The sequence below is a fragment of the Homo sapiens genome, chromosome 3 (genome assembly GCF_000001405.40).
Source record: "Homo sapiens chromosome 3, GRCh38.p14 Primary Assembly".
In the NCBI taxonomy this organism is placed as follows: Eukaryota; Metazoa; Chordata; class Mammalia; order Primates; family Hominidae; genus Homo; species Homo sapiens.
Window position 1 is genome coordinate 49,402,934 of NC_000003.12, and position 26,916 is coordinate 49,429,849.

Here is a 26,916-nt window from a genome sequence, read left to right on the forward strand (position 1 = left end):
GGCTGAAGCAGAAGAATCGCTTGAACCCGAGAGGCGGAGGTTGCAGTGAGTTGAGATCGTGCCACTGCACTGCAGCCTGGGCAACAGAGCGAGATTCCATCTCATAAAAAAAAAAAAAAAGAAACCCGCCGAGCGCGGTGGCTCACGCCTGTAATCCCAACACTTTGGGAAGCAGAGGCAGGCGGATCACAAGATCAGATCGAGACCATCCTGGCTAACAGAGTGAAACCCCATCTCTACTAAAAATACAAAAAGTTAGCTGGGTGTGGTGGCACGCACCTGTAGTCCCAGCTACTCAGGAGGCTGAGGCAGGGGAATCACTTGAACCCGGGAGGCAGAGGCTGCAGTGAGCCAAGATTGCGGCACTGCACTCCTAGATGACAGAATAAGACTCCGTCTCAAAAATAAAAATAAAAATTTAAAGCCTTGAGGAAATGCTCTTTAACTCGACTGAGTGGCAATTACTTGGGTATACACATTCATCAAAATTTATCAAACTGGCGGTTTGTGGTGGCTCATGCCTATAATCCCAGGGCTTTGTGAGGTTGAGACGAGAGAATCACTTAAGGCCAGGAGTTCAAGACCAGTCTGAGCACATAGTGAGACCCCTCTCTCTACAAAAAAAAAAATTACAAAATAAAAATGTAGCCAGGCGTGGTGGTGCACACCTGCAGTCCCAGCTACTCGGGAGGCTAAAGCAGAGAATTCTTGGGCCTAGGAGGTCGAGGATGTAGTAAGCCATGATTCCGACACTGCACTTCAGCTGGGTGACAGAACAAGGCCCTATGTCTAAAAAAAATAAGAACAAAAAAATTATCAAACTATCATTTAAAGTATGTGCATTTTATTGTATGCAAATTAAACCTCCATGAAGGTAATTAAACCTCAGGTGATTCCAATTTGGGGAACTGGATTCCAAGTTTGGGAACAGTGGAGTCTAGGAACCACTGTTCTTAAGTACCAGGAACCAAGTAGTAAGCCCTGTTTTATTCCAAGAAATCTTAGGGTGCTACTCCCACTACCCTCCCACCACCCCCGAAAAAAGGTACTACAAACTGTAACCTGAATAGTGAAAGTTGAAGATAGCTGGACTCAGTGGCTCATGCCCGTACTTGCAGCACTTTGGGAGTCTGAGGTGGGAGGACTGTTTGAGCCCAGGAGTCTGAGACCCAACCTGGGCAAGACAGCAAGACTCCATCTCTACAAAATGTAAAAATATTAGCTGGGCGCAGTGGCACATACACCTGTAGTCCCAGCTACTAGGGAGGACGAGGCGTAAGGATACCTTGACACCAAAAGTTGGAGGCCACCATGAGCTATGACTGTGCCACTGCACTCCAGCCTAGATGACAAAACAAGACCTTATCTCTCCAAAAAAAAGCCAGGCGCAGTGGCTCACACCCGTAATCCCAGTACTTTGGGAAGCCAAGGCAGGTGGATCACAAGGTCAGGAGTTCAAGACCAGCCTGGCCAACAAAGTAAAACCCCGTCTCTAGTAAAACACACACACACACACACACACACAAAATTAGCCGGGCATGGTGGCACGCACCTGTAGTCCCAGCTACTTGGGAGGCTGAGGCAGGAGAATCGCTTGCACCCTGGTAGGCAGAGATTGCAGTGAGCCGAGATTGTGCCACTACACTCCAGCTTAGACAACAGAGCAAGACTCCGTCTCAAAAAAAAAAAAAAAAAAAAAAAAAAAGGCCAGAAGGCCAGGCACGGTGGCTCACGGCTGTAATCCTAGCACTTTGGGAGGCCAAGGCAGGCAGATTGCCTGAGCTCAGGAGATGGAGACCAGCCTGGGCAACATGGTTAAACCCCGTCTCTACTAAAATACAAAAAAAAAAAAAAATTAGCCAGGCGTGGCAGCATGCACCTGTAGTCCCAGTTTACCTGGGAGGCTAAGGCAGGAGAACCGCATGAACCCGGGAGGCAGAGTTTGCAGTGAGCCGAGATCACGCCACTGCACTCCAGCCTGGGCGACAGAGCGAGACTCTTGTCTCCAAAAAAAAAAATAATAAAAAAAGTAGGCCAGGCGCGGTGGCTCACACCTATAATCCCAACACTTTGGGAGGCGGAGGCAGGCAGATCACCTGAGGTCAGGAGATCGGGACCATCCTGGCTAACACGGTAAAACCCTGTCTCTACTAAAAATACAAAAAAAAAAAACACCTAGCCGGGCGTGGTGGCGGGCACCTGTAGTCTCAGCTACTCAGGAGGCTGAGGAAGGAGAACTGCTTGAACTCGGAGGGCGGAGGTTGCAGTGAGCCGAGATCGCGCCACTGCACTCCAGCCTGGGTGACAGAGCGAGACTGTGTCTCAAAAAAAAAAAAAAAAAAAAAAAAATTAGCTGGGCATGGTGACATGCCTGTAAACCCCAACTAATGGGGAGGCTGAGGCAGGAGAATCACTTGAATCCAGGAGGTGGAGGTTGCAGTGAGCTGGGATCACGCCATTGCACTCCAGCCTGGGCAACAAGAGCAAAACTCCATCTCAAAAAATAAATAAATAAAATAAGTTAGTTGAAGGGCTACATGTCTGGCACTTGAGGTAAGTGCTTCTCTCTCACTGAAATCTCATGGCGCTTCCTTACCATTCCCTTTCTACAGAAGAAAAAAACTGAATTACAAAGGAGACATACTACTGCCAAGGGTCTCAAGCCATCAAGTGTCAGAGCTAGTATTTAACTGTCAGTTTCTCTCCAGAATCCATGCTCTTAAATAAGATACTCTACTGCCTTTTCTTTCCTTCTTTTTTTTGTGTGTATGTTTGAGACGGAGTTTCGCTCTGTTGCCCGGGCTGGAGTGCAGCAATCTTGGCTCACTGCAACCTGCGCCTCTCAAGTTCGAGGGATTCTCCTGCTTCAGCCTTCCGAGTAGCTGGGATTACAGGCACTCACTAATACACTCGGCTGATTTTTGTATTTTTAGTAGAGATGGGGTTTCACCATGTTGGTCAGACTGGTTTCGAACTCCTGACCTCAGGTGACCCACCCACCTCGGCCTCCCAAAGTGCTGGGATAACTGGCATGAGCCACCATACGCAGCCTGCCTTCTGTTTCTGAACTTAAGATCTTCAAAAGATAAACAGAGCTTCATTATGAATAACTGGAAAAGTTAAACAAGAGATTTCATCCAGAAAAGAAATTTTCCACACACACAAAAAAACAGGTATTTCCAACAAAGCTGCCATATCACATAATAAAATTATCTTGTAGAAAAAAGCATTAACAAAGTGTTACAACATTAAATATCCATCTTAAATTTACTTCCTTAACCTCTCAAAGCCTATATCCCAAACAAAGTTACAAAAAAAAATCCCAGTAGTAGAGCATATGATCTCTAGGTCCATGGAAGAGACACCAGAGAATCACAACTCATCTGCAACATACAGACTAGGATACAATGGCTAGAAGAATACAGTAAAATAAAAATGTATACATAACAAAAGTTAGAATGCTCAACCATATACTTGAAGTCAAAACAAGCAACTTTTTTAAATCATGGGACTGAATCCTTGTGCTTTAGAGCAGCTATAAGCTTCAGAAATTAAAAATCTTGGCCAGGGTAGCTCACGCCCGTAATCCCAGCAGGAAGCTGAGGCGGGTGGATTGCCTGAGGTCAGGAATTTGAGACCAGCCTGGCCGACATGGTAAAATTCTTGTCTCTACTAAAATACAAAATACAAAAATTAGCCAAGGGTGGTGGGCAGGTGGTGGATGGCACCTGTAATCGAGCTAGTGGGTAGGTTGAGGCACGAGAATCGCTTGACTCACATCTTTAATCCCAGCACTTTGGGAGGCTGAGGCAGGAGGACAACTTGAGCCCAGGAGTACAAGATCTGTCTGGGCAACATAGCAAGACACCATCTCTAGTACAAAAAAAGAGAAGAAAAAAATAAAGCAAAAAAATTTTAAAAACAAATCCTTAGTGGCTCATGCTTGTAATCCCAACACCTTGGGAGGCCAAGGTGGGTGGGTCACGGGGTCACGAGGTCAAGAGATCAAGGCCATCCTGGCCAACATGGTGAGATCCCGTCTTTACTAAAAATACAAAAATTAGTCGGGCATGGTCACACACACACACCTGTAGTCCCAGCTACTCTAGAGACTGAGGCACGAGAATCGCTTGAACCTGGGAAACAAAGGTTGAAGTGAACAAAGATCACTCACTGCACTCCAGCCTGGGTGACAGTGAGACCCTGTCTCAAGAGAAGAGAAGAGAAGAACCAATGACTTCAAATAAAATAGGCAGAAGTCACTAAGTCAAGGAAATTAATATTATGAAATCCTTTCCGTTTTTTTTTTTTTTTTTTTTTTTTTGAGTCTTGCACCGTCTCCCAGGCTGGAGTGCAATGGCTCGATCTCTGCTCACAGCAACCTCCGCCTCCCAGGTTAAAGTGATTCTCCTATCTCAGCCTCCTGAATAGCCGGGATTATAGGCGCCTGCTGCCACGCCCAGCTAATGTTTTGTATTTTTAGTAGAGACAGGGTTTCACCATGTGGCCAGGCTGGTCTCAAACTCCTGACCTCAAGTGATCCACCTGCCCAGCACTTCCAAAGTGCTGGGATTACAGGCATCAGCCACTGCTCCCAGCCAGGAATTCCTTTTTATATTTGTCCAAATTATCATATTAGTTTACTATTTAGTCAGAATGGAATTAGATCTACTCCTACTCACAGTGATTCTAGTTTTTTTTTTAATATCAGATCATGTCATTCCCTTTCTAAAGAATATCTAAATGACTTCTAATCTCAGAACAAATCCAAAGAATTTCCCATGTCCTAAAGGCCCTATATGATTTGGCCCCTGCCCACCTCTCTAACCTCTTTTTACCTCCAACTTTTCCTTTCACTCCACTTCAAACTTACTTCATTGGCTGTGTATGTTTTCCTCTTTCCCTTCACTTAAATTTAAGATACTATCATAAATATGCTTAAATATGGCCAGACATAGTGGCTCTCACCTGCAATCTCAACACTTTCAGAGGCCAAGGGGGGCAGATCACAAGGCCAGGAGTTCGAGAACAGCCTGACCAACATGGTGAAACCCCGTCTCTACTAAAAATACAAAAATTAGCTGAGCACAGTGGCGCATGCTGGTACTCCCAACTACTCCAGAGGCCGAGGCACAAGAATCACTTGAACTAGGAGGCGGCGGTTGCAGTGAGCCGAGATGGCGCTACTGCACTCTGGCCCGGACGACAGAGTGAGACTCAGTCTCAAAAGAGAAAAAAAAAAAAATATATATATATACACACACACATACACACACGTATATGTACACATATATATACGTATACACGTATATGTACACATATATATACGTATACACGTATATACGTATACACAAGTATATATACATATACACACACACACATATGCTTAAATATACATACTCATCCTCTTCAAAAAATAAAATCAAGCTAAGTTTGGCATAAACTGCATACTGATTGCAATTTAGCAAGAGTATTTGATGTTTTTCTTTATTATTAGCTATAAAAATGTATTTGGATGAAGCATCAATAAACTGAGACCAACACCCAGAACGAGCAGCTTCAGTGCCTGATTTTCAGTCACATGACTATCGTAATTATGAACATACCAAGGCCTTCACTTAATACTACAGCTCCACAGATTAAAGATGAGGGATTTTATAGTAATTACAAACTTCAAACCGTCTTGGAAATTTTAATCCCACAAATGAGCATGTCCCCAAAGAGCCCCATGTATAGCAAGGCATGTAACATTAAGTTCAAAATTTAGTTATATTAATGTGTAGTTACAAGCAAACAGTTCCATTGGGCAGGTAAACAAAGGAATAAACTAAATGGCAGAGTCAGACAAAATACTTAAGATCCTTTTTTTTTTTTTTTGAGACGGAGTCTCGCTCTGTTGCCCTGGCTGGAGCACAGTGGCGCGATCTCAGCTCACGGCAAGCTCCGCCTCTCGGGTTCACGCCATTCCCCTGCCTCAGCCTCCAGAGCAGCTGGGACTACAGGCGCCCGCCACCACACCCAGCTAATTTTTTTTGTATTTTTAGTAGAGACGGGGTTTCACCGTGTTAGCCAGGATGGTCTCCAGACCTCGTGATCCGCCCGCCTCGGCCTCCCAAAGTGCTGGGATTACAGGCATGAACCACCGCGCCCTGCCAGGATCCTTTTAAAACTACAAATATGGGTGGGCGTGGTGGCTCACCCTTGTAATCCCAGCACTTTGGGAGGCCAAGGCAGGCGGATCACCTGAGGTCAGGAGTTCAAGACCAGCCTGGCCAACACGGTGAAACCCCATCTCTACTAAAAATACAAAAGTTAGCCAGGAATGGTGGTGGGTGCCTGTAGTCCCAGCTACTCCAGGGGCCGAGGCAGGAGAATCACTTGAACCCAGGAGGCAGACGGTGCAGTGAGCTGAGATCGCGCCACTGCACTCCAGCCTGGGCAACAGAGTGAGACTCCATTTCAAAAATAAAAATAAATATAAAACTACAACTATATGGCCAATTTTAAAATCCAGTGACTATGTACTATTTATCATAATCACTAGTAACCACAATGCAATTAAACCCAAGGTGCTGTCTACAGAAGGCCAGCAGCTTCAAATTAGCTCTCTTAGAAGCTGATCAGTCTTTCTTCTCAGAGTTAACATATATCTCTCAGCTCTCTAAGACAATTAAAAAGACGCAAACTAGCACCTTCTCCAGTCACTGCATGGACTCCACCCCATGGACAAGAAACACCTGAAGAGCTACCTGTTTTTACTCTCCTAATAACTTACACCCCCATATGACCAGAATAAACTTTTAAAAAGCAGTTAACTGACAAATGGAAAGAAATCAGGACTACGAAAATACTCCACCACCACCACATGCATGTGCACAGGGAATTGTTTACTTGATACACGCAGTACCCCAAATCAACAGTCAAAAGTGCCCACAGTTAACTAAAAATATCTTAGCCTGACCTAAATATCTTGGTTTTGAAGCAGTAAAGTGTAGGCCTTGCTCTAGAAGTTGGTCCCTTAAAAAAAAATCCAAACAAAGCCATGATTAGGCCAACCAGGGACCCTCGTACATTCATCTATCTCCCTCAATTGAAGGCAGGACCATCCAGTTAACAAGGGGAGAGTGCTGTGTAAGCTAATGAACCGAAATTTTTTGGCAAATGAACAGTTTCTCCCAAACTATTCACCATCAACAAGGTTTAAAAGAAGAAACAATGGAATAAGCTAGAAGTCCTGAATTTTAGCTGACTCTGGAGGCCAACTGCTTGGGAGTAAATGGAGAATACCTTAACAGAGCAGACAGTTCTGGTCTGCTCCTGACTAGATAGGTAACCTTGGGAAATTTACTTAAGTCTCTGGGACTCAGTTTGCTCATCTGCAAATGGGGTTGGACAACCAGTCCTGAAAGATTCCTCTTAGATCTAAAACTCAAGAACTACACAGTATTCCTACTCTCTTCTTCCCTCCAACACAGATTTTTATGAGAACAGAGAGGATAAATCTAGCACTAGACTTTAACTCAAACCAAGGTGCACCTTATATATTTAATGTCCCCAAGAGCCATCAGTGCTCCACAAAAGTAGATGGAACCAATTAAGACAAGTTATCCAGAGATCCTTCAATAAGTCATTCTTTACAATTAAAAACTAGTTTTTCAGTCCAATGTCACTTGTGCCAAATGCTCAAAACAGTATCTCCGCCAATCTAGCCACATCTAAGGTGACAATCATCCGCATGGTACACATTACACATCTGGGTGATACTAAGTGGTTGAAAAATTCTCTCCACATACAACATTTTAAATTATGGAAGTTTTTTGGTTTTTCAATTTTTCTCCTTCAGAAAGGCAGAGTGAAATATCTACTTACACACCTGCAAGAAACGTTTAAGACTTTCTTCAAGACAGAACCAAACAAGTCAACAACAGAGGTAAAAATTTAAAATCAGAACTATTAAAAAACACAAGTGGAACCAACTTTGAGGTAAAAAGGATTCCAATTTTCCACCGTAAACTACTAAACAAGGTTTGTGAACAAATCAACTTGGATGCGAATAGCGCTATTCAATGAAGACGACCCGTAACTGTAGATCCAATCAGTAACTAAGGTACAGATATTTAGATCATTCCTAATCAATACAGCGACTTCGACTAAGCAACATTGCATCTATTTTCATGCAACATCGCTTAAATCATTTACAGTTTTGTGTGTTGTTTTTTTTTTCCAAATGGAAAATACCCCTTTTCCACTCAAAACAGACCCCAAAGCTTTCAGACGAGTTCGGGCGCGTTCCAGGTGGTATGGCCGTAGATCATACCCCTAAGCGTTCAATACAATCTTTTACTTACTTACACAGTCTCCAACAAGTCTGCATTAAAAGAAAACCTACCCAAAGTGTAACTGGACTTTAATCAATATGAAACAGTGATTGTCGTTTCTCGTTAAACGTAAAAAGCAAAATGGAGTTGTAAAGAGTTTCTTTCCCATTTCAACTCCGACAGCCACGCGCGCTTTCAGCGGCCGGCTACACTGCGCGGTCGCGGGGCCCGGCCCAAAGCCCCCGCCCTGCCCGGCGCCGCTGGGAGAGGAAGCTCCGGGGACCGAGGGCGGGCAGGCGGGCAGCCTGGGCTCCACCAGGCCCGGCCGGGCGGGGGAAGGGGCACAGGAGACTACCGGGCGCGCTTCCGGGGACTGCGCGGGCGGGGTCGCCGCTTGGGGCGCGGGGCCCGGGCTGGGAGTCAGGTCAAGGGTCAGGGGCCAGGGGCGGCTCGGCCACGAGCAGCCGGTGGGGCGCGGCCGCGGCGGTGCGGCGGCCTGCCGGCCGGAAGAGTACCGGGCTGGCGGGCCTGGGGCCCCGCGGCGCCTGGAGGGAACCCTTCCGCTCACCTCAGGCAACGAATCCGAGTCCAGCCTCTTCGCGCCGGGGACGCCGGTCCGCGAGTCGCAAACTCGGAGACGAAGGCGGGTAGCTGAAGACCAGACCGTGGACTAACGAGAGAACCGACGGAGGACCGCGGGCGGCGGGAGGGTAGCGCGAGAGAGCGAGGGCGGGCGGCGGCGGGAGGGCGGGGAACGACGTGCGCGCCTCCGAGTGCCCAGCGGGCTCGAGCCGGCACAGGTCGCGGCCCCGCGCACGCGCGCGCACTCACAGCTCATCCACTATTGCTCAGGAGCCCGTCCACGCCCTAAAAGCAAAACCCTTAACCAATCATTGCAGCCGCGTGGGGCATCACGGGAACTCCGGGGCTATAAAAGACCTGGTTGCTATTTTGTACTCCCGGAGTCACTCATCCCTTAAGCAAGCAGGGTGGGGTTAGGTGCGCGTGCGCGGTTTTAATACTCCTCCCCGAACTGCCAACTCTTCACGCACGCGAAGTAGGCCCCACCCTGGCTGGGTTTACGCGTGCGCACTAACGGGCCTGGTCCCGGAAGACCACACGCGTGCGTGGTGGGGACTACGGTGACAGTACCCCGGGTGGGGCGAGGGCCAGTCATGGCGGAGTCCTGGTCTGGGCAGGCCTTGCAGGCTCTGCCGGCCACGGTGCTGGGCGCGCTGGGCAGCGAGTTCTTGCGGGAGTGGGAGGCGCAGGACATGCGCGTGACCCTCTTCAAGCTGCTGCTGCTGTGGTTGGTGTTAAGTCTCCTGGGCATCCAGCTGGCGTGGGGGTTCTACGGGAATACAGTGACCGGGTTGTATCACCGTCCAGGTGAGGCTTCCTACGAACCTCCGTGGGCTGGCCGCCCCCGCCCCCACCCTCTCCCGACTGTACCATTGGGTTCCCCACTATCCTGCAAGAGGCTCATCAGAACTTAACATTGGTTCACGGCCTTACTACCCTGAACGCATCTGACCTCGGAAGCTAAGCCAGGTACTTGGATGGGAGAACTTAACGTTGTGCCCTGACTCATGCCACCATACCATTTTACGCCAGAATCCCCACCAGTCCACCCATCACATTGTATCTGTTCCTCAGAACTCTCACCTGGCAATACCATTAGTCCCTTAGGACCCTCACCAGACTTCACCAAACAATACCAGTGGTCTCTAACCTGACCTGGGCTGATGCCTGCTCAGATTCCCACCCCAGCCTTCTGCAGCTCTGGATGTGTTTCTGCCTCCAGGTCTGGGTGGTCAGAATGGATCCACGCCTGATGGCTCCACGCATTTCCCTTCGTGGTGAGTAAATCTGTCCATACCGCAACCCCATGCTTGGCATTCCAAGGACACTCCTGTGCTGGTGACAGAGAGGGGAGTTCTCAGGCTTTAAGCCCACCAGCTTAATGGCCTTTGCAGCAAGCTTCAAGTCTGCACGTAGAGCTCAGGCTTCAAGTTAGGGTGACACCAAGGTCTGGACAGTCCATCATCATGCTGTTCAGCAGCCTGTAGGATAGGTGGTGGTATTGTCATAATTTCAGAGAGATGAAATGACAGGTTTGTTGGATTCCACTCTGCACAATCCCCTCAGTTGGGAAGGCAGTAATCTCTGTCCTGAGCACATTGACCTCATCAGGGTCAGCCTCCTCTTCTGCAAAACATGCGCTCACTAATCAGGGCATTCATTCAGATAATCTCTGGGCCCCTATCACGTGATAGGGGCCACACGAGGCCCAGAGAACAAAGACAACCCGGGCCCTGCTCATGGGGAGCCAGGGATTTATTAGGGGAGGGCGGCAGTGCATGGGGCAAGGGTGGTCAGGGAAGGCTTCTCCCAAGAAAGACACCTAAGCCGAGATCAAATGCCACAGGGTGACAAAGTGTACCAAGCAAAGGGAATGGATTGAGCAAGGCTAAGAGGGAAGAATACGGGTGACATATTAGAATAGGTAAGACTGTGATGCTGGAGCTTGAACGTGAGAGCTTGTTGGACCCTGGGAGCCATTGAAAGACTAACTCAGCAAGGCTGTGGTCTGATCTAATTTGCCTTTATAAATGCCTACTTCATGGCAAGTAGATAAAGGGGTCCAAGAGTTAGGGCTAGAGGTTAGAAAGGCTGCCACTGCCCAGGTTTCTGTCTTAGAGAAGAGGCCAGGCCCCATGGCTCATGCCTGTAATCCCAGCACTTTGGGAGGCTGAGATGGGCGGATCACTTGAGGTCAGGAGTTTGAGACTAGCCTGGCCAACATAGGGAAACCCCGTCTTTACTAAAAATAGAAAAAATTAGCTGGGCATGGTGGCATACGCCTGTAATCCCAGCTACTCGGGAGGCTGAGGCATGAGAATCACTTGAACCCAGGAGGCAGAGGTTGCAGTGAGCCCAGATCACGCCACTGCACTCCAGACTGGGCATCAGAGTGAGACTCTGTCTCAAAAAAAATAACAGGCCGGGCATGGTGGCTCACGCCTGTTCCTAGCACTTTGGGAGACTGAGGAGGGTAGATCACCTGAGGCCAGGAGTTTGAGACCAGCCTGGCCAACATGGCGAAACCCCGTCTTCACTAAAAATACAAAAACTAGCTGGGTGTGGTGGCGGGCGCCTGTAATCCCAGCTACTTGGGAGGCTGAGGCAGGAAAATTGCTTGAACCCGGGAGGTGGAGGCTGCAGTGAGCTGAGATCTTGCCATTGCACCCCAACCTGGGCAACAAGAGTGAAACTCCGTCTCAAAAAAAGAAAAGTAATAACAATAGTAATAAATAAAAAGAATAAAAAAACTAGAGAAGGATGGCAATGCCGTACTAACATGGAGAACCAGGAAGAAGAATGAGTCTGCAGGGAGAAGGTGCTGGGCCCAGGGTGGGCTGTGGGAGACCAGCAGAGAGGTCTAGATTGTTATGTGACCTTACTGAGCCTAGCTCAGCCCCCAAGAAGGAGCTTGGGAGAGCCAATTTCAGCAACTGTTCTGCCCATGGAATAACCACTCTCTCTTCTCTCTCTCCATCACTTTCAGGGAAATGGCAGCAAACGAACCTCTCAAAACCCACAGAGAATAAGGGAAGGCAGCAGAGGGTCTCCAAGGGCATCACTGGGTCTGCTGGCTTCTACACTGGGTTCTGCTACTCCCCAGACCTCAGGGACAACTGCCGGGGGTTCAGGGTTGGTAGCAGGGAGTACCCAGTGCCTACAGGGCTGGGCCTCTTCTGCCTCTTAAGCCTGCTCCCTCACCCAGGCACTGGGCAAGTGAAGAGTTTGCCTGTACTCTTATCTGGGTGCCTTAAGGAGAGAGATTGTGTTCTTCCTCTCTCAGGGGTGATAACTCAGGAAGCCTCTGGGTTGGGAAGACCATCAGTTCTTTTGTCTTAGGTTTCTTTTCCTGTCCCTCTTCCATCCCCAAGATGTGACCCCATAAAAATTTTTCCTGAGTTGGCCAGGCATGGTGGCTCACGCCTGTAATCCCAACACTTTGGGAGGCTGAGGCAGGCAGATCACGAGGTCAGGAGTTCGAGACCAGCCTGACCAACATGGTGAAAACCCCATCTCTACTAAAAATACAAAAATTAGCCGGGTGTGGTGGCACACACCAGTAATCCCAGCTACTCAGGAGGCTGAAGCAGGAGATTTGCTTGAACCTGGGAGGCAGAGGTTGCAGTGAGCCAAGATTGCGCCGTTGTACTCCAGCCTGGGCAACAGAGCAAGACCCATCTCAAAAAAAAAATTTTTTTCCTGAGAGGAAGCCTGAGGTTGACCAGCTCTGGGGTTTGTAAGGCAGGTCTGTTTTCTCCTAGGCCCTGAGTTTTCTGAATCTCTGGTTTTGCTTTGTTGGCAAGGAGCCAGGGAATCCTGACCTGAGCCAGACCTTAAGCTCTATGGTTATTTAGCTGGCCATTCAGGTATAAGGCAGGGTGGTGTACCTGCTGGCACTATCCAGATGGAGGCACCAAACACCCACATACCTGGCCCAACCAGACTTCTCCCGTGAGCCAGGCAAAGGAAATTGTCATCTGCCAACTGTCCTACTCATATTCCTCTCAGTCCTTCTTGGGGGTAAGCTGATTACCTGAAGGACAGCTGAACCCCTGGGGTAGCCTCCTATCCACCACTGCTTAAGTGCCTATGGGAATGTGGGTCTGCACCTTGTCCCCTCATAGGATGGTACCAAGCATTTAGTGCACAGTGGCCCCATCATAGCCTGCAGCCTCATCATTTCCCATCTGGACCTGGTACAAATGCACGTCACAGGCTCAGCTCCTCCCCACTAGCATTTTCTCTACCTTCAAGAACCAGGCAGCCCTGCCATGTCACAATAGGCCAGGGGAGTTTCCAAAGATGTGGGTGGCAAATGCCCCTATAGAAACACCAGTACCTGAAAGCACTGTAGCCCTGGACCTGCCTCCTTCCCTCGGGGCCATACTTCTGTTTCCATCTGCTGGGCCACCAGCCACTTTAGTGACCCCTGCCTACTTCCTTCCTGTTGGATATCATACTTCCATCTGGCTGCCTTTGCTTAAGCCATCTTTGTGGTAGAGGGGCCCTGGAATTGCAGCTGTACTGAGGATGATGTTATTCACAGCCCCTGGCCCACCCACTAATACTACTGCACAGAGTCAGGATCTCACATTTCACCCCAGGCTCAACTGAGGATGTGGCTTATTAAACACGGAAGTGCATCGGTTGTTGTGGTTATTCAGACAGAACAAGGGTGTGCATGCACAGGGGCAGTGAGAGAGGGAACATCCTGGAAGCTGTTGCCCCTTGGGACCCAGATGCAATAACTTGCAGGGAGGGGAGAGGTGATGCAGCTCCCTGGAGGAGCAGGGATGGGGTGCCCAACAGGGGCAATATCTCCATTTTTATAGACTGGCCCCTTTCAAGGAGAACCTATTCCAAGCTTGTCTTGGAGGCCAGGAAGGCAGGCATTGGGTTGGCATTTCAGGAACCCTGTGAACAGAGAACAATGAAGCTAGAGACTGGCAAGTAAGAAGGAAGTTTAATTTTTTTTTCAGGATTCAGTGGAGTCCATTAATGCATACCAGGGGCAAAGATCAGCCCAGGGTAAGGCAAGTCTGGGAGGAAGCCCACCCTGCCCTACAGCAGCCCTGGAACTCAGAATAGGTGGTGAGTCTGCCATGGTTTGCTACTGGGCAGCACACTAGACCAACTTGGGAATGTGGAAGAGTGAGTCTATGTTCCCTCAGCCATCCCCAAGTTTACACACAGGCATAGCAGCCCTACTGTGAGTCAGCAATCATTCCTGACTTGCAGTAAGGACAATTTGCATTTACGGAAAGCAAACTGGAGGGGGTAGCCTAAGTCCGCACTGCCCATGTTATTACCCTTTGCAATGTGAAAAACCATGGTGAGGTAGGTTGGGCAGGTTTTATCCTCTCCACAAAGGTGAGCCTTTGCTCCACAGCCAGCACCTGGCAGAGTGGGAGAGATGGCAGAACCAAAGCTTCTCATTACCCTCCAGCAGGCAAGAGTAGGTCAGTGGGATCATGGACTGAAACAAGACATTGTGTGAGCTGGTCCGTCACTCAGAAGCAGGGTCCTGAAGGAAGCTGGAATGGCATGAGTTAGGTGGGGGGAATAGGTGGTGTGGCCCCTCAACCAGACAATTAGAATCAGCCTCCACCTTAACTGCCCACCCCCAGTGAGTTCTGCCTCAGCTTCTTGACTAACCCCTTGTAGGGGCAAAACTCCTGGAAGGGACAGCCCCACCCTGAGCCAGCTTCACTTGAGGGTATAGTAGTTTGTGGGCACAAAGGGCATCTTGCTGACTACAGCCATCTGCTGCTTCCGCCGCACCTCTACCAGCAGCATTGTCCCTGGACGACTGTACTCGCAGGGCACATAACCCATCGCCACATTCTTCTTCAGAGAGGGGGAGGGGCAGCCACTAGTCACAGTACCTGTCAAGCAAGCATAAGCCACGCATCAGCACCACCCTGCCAGTGCCCCCACCCTCCTGGGAAGAGACAAGGGTTTCCCAGCTTCCCTGGTCCACCTACCAATCTTGGTACCCTCCATGTTCAGGATGGGACTGTGTGCCCGCATGGGGGCCCCCTCACACATCAACCCCACACGCCTCCGCTGCACCCTGCCCTTCAGCTGGGGAACAATGACCTTGGCTCCAGGGAAGTCCATAGCAGCTCGGCGGCGCTTCCCTGGAGAATGACACATGAGACATAAGCCACAGCCCATAGAAGCCCTGGCCACAGGAGGTCCTTATGAGGTCCTCAAGTAACACACTATCTAGCATCAAGGCCCCTTTGCTTGGGCTACTCCAGGCTCTATTCCTCCCTTCACTGCCGTCAGCCAACCAACCACCTCCTATCCCCTGGAGGCCATGCTGCCCACCTGCCGAGCGTCTTCAGTTTCTTTTTTTTTTTTTTGAGATGGAGTCACTCTGTCGCCCAGGCCTAGAATGCAGTGGCACGATCTCAGCTCACTGCAAACTCTGCCTCCCAGGTTCAAGCAATTTACCTGCCTCAGTCTCCCGAGTAGCTGGGATAACAGGCACCCGCCACCACGCCTGGCTAATTTTTATATTTTCAGTAGAGACGGGGTCTCACCATGTTGGCCAGGCTATTCTCGAATTCCTGACCTCATGATCCACCCACCTTGGCCTCCCAAAGTGCTGGGATTACAGGTGTGAGCCACCATGCCCGGCAGCATCTTCAGTTTCTTTTTTTTTTTTTTTTTTTTTTTTGAGACGGGGTCTCGCTCTATCGCCCTGGCTGGAGGTGCAGTGGCGCAATCTCGGCTCACTGCAAACTCCGCCGCCCAGGTTCATGCCATTCTCCTGCCTCAGCCTCCCGAGTAGCTGGGACTACAGGCGCCCGCCACAATGCCCAGCTAATTTTTTTTTTGTATTTTTAGTAGAGACGGGGTTTCACCATGTTAGCCAGGATGGTCTTGATCTCCTGACCTCGTGATCCACCCGCCTCGGCCTCCCAAAGTGCTGGGATTACAGATGTGAGCCACCGCATCCGGCCAACATCTGCAGTTTCTAATGGGCAAAGGCACAGTGGCACCTTCAGGGAAGGGAGGCTCAGGAAGGCTTCAGGCTACATAACCTTTGGATGAGTCATGGGCTGGCTAGTCTTATCAAGGGTCACCCTGACCTCCAGGACCCTATCCTTTAGTGCTGGCCCAGCTCACCCAGTGTCCAACTGAGGCTGCCCTCCACAGGTGTAGTGTGTTCATCAATGTCATTCCCATACAGGCAGAGGCCTGCCTCCAGGCGCAGGCTGTCCCTGGCTGCCAGCCCTGCCAGCTTCACCTCTGGGTTTTTCAGAATAGCTGTTGCCAGGTGAACTGCCCCCGCTACCGGCACCGAGATCTGTATGAAACACCAGAGGGCAGATGGGAAGCTCCCTGTACCACATACCCCCAACCCCTCACATGCATCCTGTGCCCTGTACTGCCCCCACACCACTTCTTGACACACCTCCACACCATCCTCTCCTGTGTAGCCACAGCGGGTCACGCGGCAGCCAGACACGCCAAACACCTCCATCACAGCACTGGTCATGAAGGGCAGTTTCCTCAGGTCATCTGCCACGCCGGCCTGTAGTACCTGGGCTGCAGTGGGGCCTGGGCCCAGGGAGCCAGTGACCAAGTATCCAGGTCCCAGCATCCCTCAAAGCTGGACTAAAGCCTTATTCAGGGACCAGAACAAGCCCTGAGCATGTCTTACTCTGCAAGTGGGAGAAGATGCCCTTGTCCCTAGCCCATGGAGCCTTGTGGTAGGTAGGAGGAGGGCAAGATACAAAACTTAAAATTATGGCACACAAATATCACACCTTCCACACATTCTTCTTGGTATGGCCTCTGTGCTAAGCAGTCAATGAAGCCAGGAAGGCAAAGGTTGGCTCCAACCCCAGCCCAGCCCTCTCACCTTGCAGAGCTAGCAGGGCATTATCCAACACCTCCAGGCCCACATCTCTGCCCTGGTTCTGAAGCTCCCTGACCTTGTCCTAAAAGACAGAAACACAAGAGCATCTGGGGCCACTTACTGAGCAGCTACCATGGGCTGGACGCTGCAGAGCTGGACAGTAGTAGGACAGTGGAGAGGAGGAGGAGGAGGGAGGAAAAAAAAAGGTAGTAGGCTGGTTCCCATCTTACAAGGTCACATAGCTACTAAGTGATAGAGATGACCCAAGCCCAGTTCTGCCACCTCACACCAGAGGGGCCAAGACCCCCTCCCCATGCCTGGTAATCCCCCACCACCAAACCCTGGCGTGCTCCAGAGAGGGCCTGCTCTTGAGTCTCATAGCTGTTCATTCACTGAAAGAGCCATTTTCCAGGTCCCTTGTCTGTGCCAACCCTGTCTTGGACAACAAGGATACTGCTCTATGAACAAGGAAGACAAGGTGTCTAGAACACAGAGGGGGTATACCTGCATGAGGGCCAAATCTTTCTCCCAGCAGCCAGCGTTGGACACCACATACAGGTGGCCCTCAGAAGTATTGGTTACAATCAAGTCATCTAAGATGCCTCCAGCCTCGTTGGTAAACAGCGACAGTGTCCCCTAGGACCAAAGTGGAGCGTTTTGGCTTCCAGGTCCAGGAGGGCAAGGCCAAGGGTGAGCCAGACACAACCCTGGACCCACTTAGTTACCAAAAGGTTATGAACCCTAATGTGAAGGACTCAGGGTGTGCAAGGTACAAGTCTGGGCCCAAGTCCAAGGTCTTTGATCCTCATGCATCAAGTAAGTTTTCATCCCCTCCCTACCTTGGGGTGCTTCCCTGATCTGGTGCAACCTCTGCACCCCTCCCCACTCTGTACTGAGAGTCCCATCTGACACTTAATCTATGACACCTAGGACCTGCTGCTTCACCTACCCAAACCTGGGACGACTTAGCCCATGTGGCAACCCACAGGACAAAAGCTTCAAAGGTCATCTTGATGATCGCAGGCTCTCCTAAGTACTCCATAGCAATGCCCCCAAAAAACTTCCTTAGCCTCCCCACTGGATGGACAAAAAGCCTGAGGTTGAGGGGGTCACATGAATCACCTGGGGATCTTGTTAAAATGAAGGTTCTGATTCAGCAGGTCTGCAGCAGTGCCTGAGACTATATTCCTAACAAGCTCCAAAGATGCTGGTTTAGAGACCACACTTTGTTGTTGTTATTTTTCTTTTTAGACTGAGTCTCACTCTGTTGCCCAGGCCAGAGTGCAGTGGTGCAACCTCAGCTTGCTGCAACCTCAGCCTCCCGAGTAGCTGGGACTACAAGCACGCGCCACCACGCCCGGCTAATTTTTGTGTTTTTAGTAGAAACGAGGTTTTGCCATGTTGGCCAGGCTGGTCTCGAACTCCTGACCTCAGGTGATCCACCCGCCTTGGCCTCCCCAAGTGCCAGGATTACAGGTGTTTGAGTCACGTCGCCTGGCCAGGGACCACATGTTGAATAGAGAGGGGTTAAGCAGAAGGGATGGCCAGAGAGCAGCATATTAACCTTGGTTTCTGGCCTCCTAGCCTGATGTAGTAAGACTGGGATATTCCCCTCCCTACAAATGTCTGTGTCTCTGGAAATGACTCAGGGATTCTGTCCAAGACTGCAAGCCCTGAGAAGCTGTGTTTGACTCATCTCTGTGCCCCTAAGCCTGAGGTAGGGACTCAGCCCATTTGCTGGCTCATGACTAAGAAAACTCATAGAGCAGAAATAAAAGGGCCCACCTGGTTTGGTCTTAGCTCTGCAATGTCTCCAACCACTAGACTCTCCATCAGCTTCACCCGGTCACTACCAAGTATCTTGGTCTGGGGAAGAGATTGAAAGCCTCAGGCCATTGCAACAGCTACAATCCAAAAGGCTACTAAGCAAGGATGCATCCTCCCTGCCATCCACAGTGCAGTCCAGCCCACCCAAAGTGACTAACCAGTCTTTTGGTTCTACACGTGGCAAAGGACCACCTTCTGATTTCCTGACCTCCCCCAGTCACTCTGTGTGGGGGGACTGCCAGGGAACTGGACAGGACCTAGCACCTTCCTGAAATAACCCCTTTTCAAACCAACATCCAGCCCAATACATGAGAGTGGGTGTCAGCCCTGGAAAACCCGGGACATTAAGGCACACCATTTAATGGGGGCAAGCTAGAAGGATGAGATGATGAGACCCTCTGAGCTCATTTCCTTGGGGCCATTGACCTATCCATGACACCCCCATGACCTCTAGCTCTTCTGAGAAGGCTGTCCTTGGAATCCAGTTCACAGCAAACAAAGCCAAGGAGTGGACCACTGTAAACAGGGAGGAAGGCCTGATCAGATGGCCAGTGTGCTCCCCTGGCTCACCTGCAGCATATGAGACACGTCAAAGAGCGAGCAGTGCTGGCGTGTGTGCAGGTGCGAGTCAGTGTGACTGTCCCGGTACTGCACTGGCAGACTCCAACCCGCAAACGCCACCATTTTCCCGCCGTGGGCCAGGTGGAAGTCATAGAGCGGTGTCCTGCGGAGCACCTCCTGTGGGCGGCTGGGCTTAGTGCCACCAGGGCCCTAGCCCCCAGCCGCTTCCCTCCCCCACCCTCCAAGATCAGCACCCTCTATCCCACCTGTGCGCAACTAAGTGGACGACACAAGGCCGGGGGGAATGCCTGCAGGCGAAAGCCCAGACGGGCCACCACACTTACAGCCCTCTGCATCGTCGCCTGCAACGAGTGCAGACGGCGCACAGAGGCCACCACACTGCCAGGCACGCCGGGAGATGTAGTCCAGGCCTCTGCTCGGACAGGTCTCTCTCCGGAGCAAAGGATCTGAAGGGGGCGTGGGCAGCCCCAAGGGCAGGCTGGGATTTAGAGCAGAGAATGCAGGAACCCGCAACCACAGGGAAGAAGCCTCCAGCTCTTTCGGCTGACTCTTCAGGGCAGCTCGGGCAATCCAGAGCTGATTGGGCTGCCCAGAACAAAGCTAGGGGCTAGACCGCCCCCTGCAGAACCGCCCTGTCTCCAGAGGGTCAAAGTTCTGGAAAGGGCTGAAAGGTCTGAATCATACCTTTAGGACCTCAAGAGAGTAAGGTCAAGTGGGGGTGGGGAAGGTGGGCCAGCCTGGCAGGTAGGCAGCACCACAGTAGTCTGTCCTCATGTGGACCCCTAGTTCCACAGCTCTCCCACCAGGCAGACACAGGCAGCCAGCAGTCATGCATTCCACAAGTATTTATTGATCTTACTGCATACCAGGCCCTCAGATGGGGACACAGCCACGAATGAAGCATGGTCCCTGCTACCACAAGGTCCTCTTCACTTACACACACACTGAGGACTACTGCTTCGTCACGCTTTCCGAAGCAGCTGAGTGGGGCTATGTAAGTGACCTTGCAGATGAAGTCGCCACCTGCAAGAACTCACAGGTGAGAACAGAGGGTGGCCACCAAAAGGTCACTGAACTCCCCCGAGAAAACTGTTGAGCCACACACATGTCCAACTTTCCAGGTCCAAGACATACTGCAGTACTGCTTTGTAATAGCCACCAGGTGCAAAGCCAGGAAGAACCAGAGGGAAACAGGTTTTTCTCACATGAGGGAAGAGCAGCCTGCATCACTTAATGGTTGGACTGAGTTAATGCAGGACTTAGGCCTCTTAAAAGGCAACAATGAGAACCCTTACTTGGACCCACTCCCCACCACGGTTGATCTCTCATTATGCTGAGCATATCTCTTGGAAAGGGGCAGGGCGGGCGCGGTGGCTCATGCCTGTAATCCCAGCACTTTGGAAGGCCAAGGCAGGCAGATCACCTGAGGTCAGGTGTTTGAGACCAGCCTGACCAACATGGAGAAACCCCATCTCTACTACAAATACAAAATTAGCCAGGCATGGTGATGCATGACTGTAATCCCAGCTACTCGGGAGACTGAGGCAGGAGAATTGCTTGAACCTGGGAGGCGGAGGTTGCAGTTAGCCAAGATTGCACTATTGCACTCCAGCCTGGGCAACAAGAGCAAAACTCAACCTCAAAAAAAACAACAAAAAAGGAGAGGGGCAACTGGGAGAAAGGATAGAGATGTGCTTTGGGCTATGTCAGATGGCAGAAGGGTCCCAGTTCTTTTTTTTTTGTTTGTTTGTTTAAGATGGAGTTTCGCTCTTCTTGCCCAGGCTGGAGTGCAATGGCATGATCTCAGGTCCGCAACCTCCACTTCCCGGGTTCAAGAGATTCTCCTGCCTCAGCCTCCCAAGTAGCTGGGATTACAGGTGCCTACCACCACGCCCAGCTAATTTTTTGTATTTTTAGTAGAGACGGGGTTTCTCCAGGTTGGTCAGGCTGGTCTTGAACTCCTGACCTCAGGTGATCCGCCTGCCTGGGCCTCCCAAAGTGCTGGGATTACAGGCGTGAGCCACTGCACCCTGCCTAGAAGGGTCCCAGTTCTTATGCTCAGGCCCTGGTTTTGCTAGAGACACGTGCCCAGGCCCTATGGGCACACCCACTTGAACATATATTCAGGAGCCAGCTCAGAAACCAAGAGACTCAGGCTGCCCAAATCTTCAGGTTTCCTTCCTAGGCAGGCAGCAGAAGAGTTCAGACAGGAAATTTCTCTCTGTGGCATAACACAAATGGAAAGAAAACCACTAGGGGACACACAGGAAGAAATAAGGTTTCTGTTTCTTCCTCAAGTGTCCCAAGTGCCATGGCAGCAATGGCCTTCCAGGTCCATACATGGAGCAGGTTTTAGTAGGTCAGCCCAGCCCAACTGCACTGACATGAGGGAGCAGGCAGAAGACAGGAATGTGCATGTTGCCAGAAGGGGCAGAGGGCACTCAGGGATTCTCAGTAAGTACAACTGACTGGAGTGTTTTTGGGTAGAAGGAAGAATTGAGTTGCAGCCAGGCGAAGACAGAGCACCCCCATGCCAGGAGCTCATGCTGAAGTAACACGGTAAGCCCCTGAGAATCCTGAATCTGTGAATGTGGCCCAGACAGAACAGGCATGCAGGCAACACTTGGAATGCACAGGAAATACACTTCAGCCTCTGGTGGCCCAAACCAAGTCTGGGTGGGCACAGAAAGGCCAACATCTTGGCTAGGAGCAACCATTCAAGTGTAGGAGAGCAAGTTCAGGTCATAACAGCCATCCACCTGAAATACAAAAGACCATCAGGTCTGATCTGCTCAGGGCAAAGCAAGCCAAGCAGAAGGAAGCGATTACTTACATCAAAGCGGCCGATCCTTGCGGAGGTGTGACTGGCCCGGATCATCTCTGTCAGTGCCCACATCTGCTGCACCTCGGAGGATACCCTGCTGGGGTCTGGGAGACCCTGCTCCAGAAGGAGGGGTCAGTGGCCATGGGTCTCTCCCCAGCAGTGCCCTTCAGGCTCCAGAGAGGCCAACCTGGGCTAGGGGCCCTCCAGCTGAGACCAACAACATTCTCAGATGGCTTATGAAACATGAGGTTAGGGCCTGATGTAGCCCCACAACAGAGATGCCTCAAATCCCACAGAATACCCAGGAGGAAGATAACACCCAAGGGCCCTGGGCCCAGCCCCAGAATTTTACAGGAAGGGGTCTACCTGGCCTGTGTTGGACACTAGAGCCATTCACACATGGTTCTTACCTAGGGTGAGGGCTTACCTCACGGAGGAGTGCAGGTTGCTCACAGGGCACTGGGTGGGAGAGCCACTTGGGAAAGGTCACGGAGGGGCTCTGCAAAGCAAAGATGTACTGCCCTGAGTGAGACAAAGTGGACAGCTCTGGGACCAGATTCCAAGGTCCTAGGAGCAGAGAGAAGGGCCGCTGGGCCTCAGACACTGGGAAAACCCTGTTTAGGGAGCCCACAGAGACCTAAAGAGGCAGTCAGACTACCTAAGTTCTCCTGCTGTGCAGACGGAGTCCTCAGAAACACAAGCTCAAAAGTGTCTCCCAGCACCTAAAGGCTCCAGCTCTGAAAGTAGCAGGTGGCCCCAAAGGTCAGGGGATATGGGGACATGGCCTCACCTCTCATTGTGAGCTTCCAGCATTCACACCCAGCTAACCTCCATGAAGGCCCCATTCACAATCTTCACCCATTACCCACCCCACCACCTAGCTTTCCCAGTCATAGAAGCTTTCTGGGGAAAGGGCCAGCCAGCAGCTGAGCTAGTCACTTACCTTTGGTCCCTGCTGATAGATCTGCAGCTCCTCCACTGTGAAAGACAGCCACAGTGGTGATGGCTGCCGCAGAATCAGGCGTAGCTCCGATATTCTAGCCATGTCACACAGCATCTGACACACACACACAAGGACCCAGCAAGGATCCAGCTCACTGCCCAGAAGCCTCCCAACCAGCAATGAGCCAGAATGCTGCCCACCCCACAGGCCTTGGGAAGGAAGGAACAGTAGTCCCTCCAAGGCACTTCCCTGGAAGTCACAGTTCAGGCCAGACTGGCCCCCTCTTCCCTCTTGGTATATTGATCCAATCCCCCCACCTCTGGTAAGTCCTCATCTGGGCTGCCCTGGCCATCCTGAGGCCCAGCTGACCTGATGCTTGAACAGCGATACATACTCCTGGGCTCCCTCCTCACTGTGTGGGTCAGGCATTAGGCAGTAGTCCCGCAGGCAGGTCACCCACTTGGCAGGTGTGTGTGCTGAGGTGTACTGACGGACACGGATGCTCAAAAAAGCTGTGTAGTAATTCTTAAACGTGATTTCCTGCAACTAGAACACATACAACCCATTACAACAAGTCAGACCCAGGCCCAGGGGCCTGAAAAGCTCAAAGATCAAAGGTGCCACCTCTTCCTTCTCCCCACCTTTTCTTTTTTTTTTTTTTTTGAGAGGAAATCTTGCTCTTTTGCCCAGGCTGGAGTGCAGTAGCGTGATCTCAGCTCACTGCAACCTCCACCTCCCAGGTTCAAGCGATTCTCCTGCCTCAGCCTCCCTAGTAGCCGGGACTACAGGTACGTGCCACCACGCCCAGCTAATTGTTTTGTACTTTTAGTAGAGACAGAATTTCACCATGTTGGCCAGGATGCTCTCAAATTCCTGACCTTAGGTGATCCACCTGCCTCTTCCCCTTTCAATGTACTCTTCTACTAAACTAACAATTTCAACAAGTATCACTAGGGCCCAAAGACAATTCTGCCTTCCTAAAGGTGCTCACAGTCTAAATGAGTAGGTCCTGGAAACAAACCACGACTGCAGATCTTGCCACACGTCCAAGATGCTGCTAGAGAGCAGCGCTCTAACCCTGGAAGAGGCAGAAAATGTACATATGAGGCCTGAAGGAGGAAGAGTTCACCAAGTGGACTAAGAAATGTAGAAAACGTGGCCGGGCACGGTGGCTCAAGCCTGTAATCCCAGCACTTTCGGAGGCCGAGGCGGGCGGATCACAAGGTCAGGAGATTGAGACCATCCTGGCTAACACAGTGAAACCCCGTCTCTACTAAAAATACAAAAAATTAGCCGGGCTTGGTGGCGGGCACCTGTAGTCCCAGCTACTCGGGAGGCTGAGGCAGGAGAATGGCGTGAACCCAGGAGGCGGAGCTTGCAGTGAGCTGAGATCGCGCCATTCCACTCCAGCCTGGGCGCGACAGAGCAAGACACGGTCTCAAAAAAAAAAAAAAAGAGATGTAGAAAACGTAGGCTGGGTGCAGTGGCTTACATCTGTCTGTAATGCCAGCACTTTGGGAGGCTGGGGCGGGTGGATCATTTAAGTTCAGGAGTTCGAGACCAGCCTGACCAACATAGTGAAACCCAATCTCTACTAAAAATACAAAAATATTAGCTGAGCGTGGTGGCGCATGCCTGTAATCCCAGCTACTCGGGAGGCTGAGGCAGGAGAATTGCTTGAACCCAGGAGGTGGAGGTTGCAGTGAGCCAAGATCAAGCCACTGTACTCCAGCCTGGGTGACAAAACGAGGCTACCTCTCAGAAAAAAAAAAAAAAAAAAAGAAATGTAGATAATGTAAAAGTAGCATATACAAATAATTACCAAAGGGTGAGAGAACCTGGTGTGCCACTGGAACAGCCAGTGATTCAGCTTGACTACTGCAGTGGATCTTGTCATTGGATACTCATCAGAATTACCCAAGAAAATGTGTTACCAAATAAATTGTCCTGGCTTCACCTTAGTCTACTAAGTCAGGATTTCCAAGGTTGGGCTCTTTAATTAAGTTTCCCATTTGATGGTAAGGAACAGCTTGGGGGAGAACCACACACCACAGCACAAAGCTCCTGAGACAAGAGAGACAGGGCTGGGCACGGTGGCTCATGCCGTGGGTGGATCACCTGACGTCACAAGTTCGAGACCAGCCTGTCCCACATGGTGAAACCCCGTTTCTACTAAAAATACAAAAATTTAGCCGGGCGTGATGGTGGGTGCCTGTAATCCCAGCTACTTGGGAGGCTGAGGCAGGATAATTGCCTGAACCCAGGAGGCGGAGGTTGCAGTGAGCCGAGATCGCGCCACTGCACTCCAGCCTGGGCAACAAGAGTGAACCTCCATCTCAAAAAAAAAAAGAGACAGAAACAGGTGGGGCACAGACACAGAGGGCTCTCAATGCCACGCCATTGGAGGTGGGTTTTGCCCTCTTTGTTGAGTCATACAGTGTCCAGTCACTCTATCAACTGATGTGGAAGTGCAACTGGAGATTGGCAACTCGAGTCATTGGGGGTATGGTGATGAGGTAAGTGACCTCTGGGAGGGACTATAAGAATGGGGAGGGGTGGCCGGGTGCGGTGGCTCAAGCCTGTAATCCCAGCACTTTGGGAGGACGAGGTAGGCGGATCACCTGAGGTCGGGAGTTCCAGACCAGCCTGACCAATATGGAGAAACCCTGTCTCTACTAAAAATACAAAATTAGCTGGGCATGGTGGTGCATGCCTGTAATCCCAGCTACTTGGGAGGCTGAGGCAGGAGAAGCGCTTGAACCCGGGAGGCAGAGGTTGCGGTGAGCCGAGATCGTGCCATTGCACTCCAGCCTGGGCAACAAGAGTGAACTCCGTCTCAAAAAAAAAAAAAAAAAAATGGGGAGGCAGGTTTTGGGGTAAATCATTGCTTAGCGATCCCCAACTGTGGCCAGGGACAAAATGACCCCTAACTTCTATTTTGGTTCACTATTTGGTATTTCCAGCAAAACCTAGCCCACTCTCGCCACCTGCATGCCAGCGCTGTCCTGGATGTGGGCAAGAGACATAGCAGAGAACAAGACAGGAAGCTCAATTCTAGGAAAAATGTGTTAACTGAAGGACTAAATAAATGAATGATTAACTAATTTGCAAGGGCAAGGAAGACGGCAGAGGCTTTCCCATAAAAGATTAAATGCCTGGGAAACGACCGAGATTCCAGGTCGGCCCCGCCCGGGAGCCTCGGTCGCGCCCACCAGGCTTGCTCACCTCGAAGGGAGCGACGCTGGGGAAGGTGACATCGATGACCAGCACGCCAGGCCGGCCTTGGGAGGTCCGCACGTCGCCCACCTGGAGGGCTACGGAGCCTTTCACATGGCAAGGCACCAAAACGCGGGACATGGTGACAGCAGCCGCAACTAAGTGCAACCGCCGCTCTAGGCCCCCGACCACCAGCCCTTCCCGGCATCCTCAGCCGAGCCTCAAGAACTACAAATCCCGGGAGGCCCCGCGTACGGCCAGCCCAGCCAATCACCGAAGCTCAGGATCGGCCGGGAGTCGGAAGTGCCTGCGGAAGTTTTTTTCTTTTTCGTTTTTAACACGGAATCTCGCTCTGTCGCCCCAGCTAGAGTGCAGTGGCGTTATCTCGACTCACTGCAACCTCCGTCTCCGGGATTCAAGCGATTCTCCTGCCTCAGCCTCCCTAGTAGCTGGGATTACAGGTGCCCGCCACCATGCCCTGCTAATTTTTTTTTTTTTAATTTTTGGTAGAGACGAGGTTTCACCATATTGTCCAGGCTGGTCTCGAACCCCTGACCTCAAGTGATCCGCCCGCCTCGGCCTCCGAAAGTGTCGGAATTACAGGCGTGGGTCACCGCGCCCCTCCCACTGAAGTTCTTCTTCAGCCAATCACTGCTCGAGGCTTAGAGCCTACCCGCGAGCCGCGCCCAGCAACTGCCCAGCCTTTCTGTATGCAAGCCATTCGGCTCCCTTTGGGTTTCTTTCACTGCTT

The 26,916-nt window shown here is 51.0% G+C and overlaps 4 protein-coding genes across 14 annotated transcripts in view, besides 12 other annotated features; 1 reads left to right on the top strand and 3 right to left on the bottom strand.

Moving 5' to 3' along the window:
• Positions 1-9,043, bottom strand: part of RHOA (ras homolog family member A) — a 52,832-nt gene extending 43,789 nt beyond the window's left edge. For 5 of the 7 annotated variants that reach the window (NM_001313944.2, NM_001313946.2, NM_001313947.2 and 2 more), the window contains exon 1: positions 8,887-9,043. The gene's annotated coding sequence lies outside the window, so the exon portion shown is untranslated. Of the gene's footprint in view, positions 1-3,778; positions 3,874-8,886 lie in introns of all 7 variants that reach the window. The other 2 variants (NM_001313941.2, NM_001313945.2) reach the window with 2 other exon arrangements.
• Positions 8,190-9,164: an enhancer, noted in NCBI's record as "NANOG-H3K27ac-H3K4me1 hESC enhancer chr3:49448556-49449530 (GRCh37/hg19 assembly coordinates)". NCBI's record gives its function as "activates a minimal SCP1, AML or CMV promoter by ChIP-STARR-seq in naive and primed H9 embryonic stem cells {active_cell/tissue: H9 hESC(naive and primed)}" and the evidence as "EXISTENCE:reporter gene assay evidence [ECO:0000049][PMID:30033119]".
• Positions 8,190-9,702: a biological region, named in NCBI's record as "Sharpr-MPRA regulatory region 7935".
• Positions 8,483-8,572: a silencer, noted in NCBI's record as "silent region_14363". NCBI's record gives its function as "represses an Ori minimal core promoter by ATAC-STARR-seq in GM12878 lymphoblastoid cells {active_cell/tissue: GM12878}" and the evidence as "EXISTENCE:reporter gene assay evidence [ECO:0000049][PMID:35858748]".
• Positions 8,583-8,862: a silencer, noted in NCBI's record as "silent region_14364". NCBI's record gives its function as "represses an Ori minimal core promoter by ATAC-STARR-seq in GM12878 lymphoblastoid cells {active_cell/tissue: GM12878}" and the evidence as "EXISTENCE:reporter gene assay evidence [ECO:0000049][PMID:35858748]".
• Positions 8,923-9,222: a silencer, noted in NCBI's record as "silent region_14365". NCBI's record gives its function as "represses an Ori minimal core promoter by ATAC-STARR-seq in GM12878 lymphoblastoid cells {active_cell/tissue: GM12878}" and the evidence as "EXISTENCE:reporter gene assay evidence [ECO:0000049][PMID:35858748]".
• Positions 9,063-9,357: an enhancer, noted in NCBI's record as "tiled region #7935; HepG2 Activating non-DNase unmatched - State 1:Tss, and K562 Activating non-DNase unmatched - State 1:Tss". NCBI's record gives its function as "activates a minimal TATA promoter and a strong SV40 promoter by Sharpr-MPRA in HepG2 and K562 cells {active_cell/tissue: HepG2 | K562}" and the evidence as "EXISTENCE:reporter gene assay evidence [ECO:0000049][PMID:27701403]".
• Positions 9,293-9,702: an enhancer, noted in NCBI's record as "active region_19867". NCBI's record gives its function as "activates an Ori minimal core promoter by ATAC-STARR-seq in GM12878 lymphoblastoid cells {active_cell/tissue: GM12878}" and the evidence as "EXISTENCE:reporter gene assay evidence [ECO:0000049][PMID:35858748]".
• On the top strand, positions 9,490-13,543 carry TCTA (T cell leukemia translocation altered). Its single transcript, NM_022171.3, has 3 exons — positions 9,490-9,707; positions 10,123-10,177; positions 11,887-13,543. The coding sequence occupies exons 1-3, from the start codon at positions 9,494-9,496 to the stop codon at positions 11,927-11,929; spliced, it is 312 nt and encodes a 103-aa protein (NP_071503.1). The 5' UTR covers positions 9,490-9,493; the 3' UTR covers positions 11,930-13,543.
• Positions 13,089-13,298: an enhancer, noted in NCBI's record as "active region_19868". NCBI's record gives its function as "activates an Ori minimal core promoter by ATAC-STARR-seq in GM12878 lymphoblastoid cells {active_cell/tissue: GM12878}" and the evidence as "EXISTENCE:reporter gene assay evidence [ECO:0000049][PMID:35858748]".
• Positions 13,845-19,540, bottom strand: AMT (aminomethyltransferase). Of its 5 annotated transcripts, NM_001164712.2 has the most exons (10): positions 19,428-19,540; positions 19,171-19,338; positions 18,559-18,639; positions 17,278-17,409; positions 16,777-16,855; positions 16,327-16,472; positions 16,038-16,218; positions 14,885-15,040; positions 14,682-14,785; positions 13,845-14,434 (listed from the first exon to the last, which is right to left on the bottom strand). In NM_001164712.2, exons 1-10 carry the CDS (start codon positions 19,515-19,517, stop codon positions 14,411-14,413), a joined length of 1,161 nt encoding a protein of 386 aa, NP_001158184.1. In that variant the 5' UTR covers positions 19,518-19,540; the 3' UTR covers positions 13,845-14,410. The 5 variants fall into 5 exon arrangements, 4 of the variants coding, with proteins under 4 accessions (NP_001158184.1, NP_000472.2, NP_001158183.1 ...); NR_028435.2 differs by having other exon boundaries at positions 13,845-14,785; positions 19,171-19,324; NM_000481.4 differs by having other exon boundaries at positions 13,845-14,785.
• Positions 14,725-15,443: an enhancer, noted in NCBI's record as "H3K27ac-H3K4me1 hESC enhancer chr3:49455091-49455809 (GRCh37/hg19 assembly coordinates)". NCBI's record gives its function as "activates a minimal SCP1, AML or CMV promoter by ChIP-STARR-seq in naive H9 embryonic stem cells {active_cell/tissue: H9 hESC(naive)}" and the evidence as "EXISTENCE:reporter gene assay evidence [ECO:0000049][PMID:30033119]".
• Positions 18,415-19,167: an enhancer, noted in NCBI's record as "H3K27ac-H3K4me1 hESC enhancer chr3:49458781-49459533 (GRCh37/hg19 assembly coordinates)". NCBI's record gives its function as "activates a minimal SCP1, AML or CMV promoter by ChIP-STARR-seq in naive and primed H9 embryonic stem cells {active_cell/tissue: H9 hESC(naive and primed)}" and the evidence as "EXISTENCE:reporter gene assay evidence [ECO:0000049][PMID:30033119]".
• Positions 19,168-19,921: an enhancer, noted in NCBI's record as "H3K27ac-H3K4me1 hESC enhancer chr3:49459534-49460287 (GRCh37/hg19 assembly coordinates)". NCBI's record gives its function as "activates a minimal SCP1, AML or CMV promoter by ChIP-STARR-seq in naive and primed H9 embryonic stem cells {active_cell/tissue: H9 hESC(naive and primed)}" and the evidence as "EXISTENCE:reporter gene assay evidence [ECO:0000049][PMID:30033119]".
• NICN1 (nicolin 1, tubulin polyglutamylase complex subunit) lies at positions 19,400-26,391 on the bottom strand. Its single transcript, NM_032316.3, has 6 exons — positions 26,175-26,391; positions 23,319-23,495; positions 22,950-23,063; positions 22,434-22,505; positions 22,016-22,120; positions 19,400-21,941 (listed from the first exon to the last, which is right to left on the bottom strand). Exons 1-6 carry the CDS (start codon positions 26,304-26,306, stop codon positions 21,900-21,902), a joined length of 642 nt encoding a protein of 213 aa, NP_115692.1. The 5' UTR covers positions 26,307-26,391; the 3' UTR covers positions 19,400-21,899.
• Positions 26,122-26,321: an enhancer, noted in NCBI's record as "active region_19869". NCBI's record gives its function as "activates an Ori minimal core promoter by ATAC-STARR-seq in GM12878 lymphoblastoid cells {active_cell/tissue: GM12878}" and the evidence as "EXISTENCE:reporter gene assay evidence [ECO:0000049][PMID:35858748]".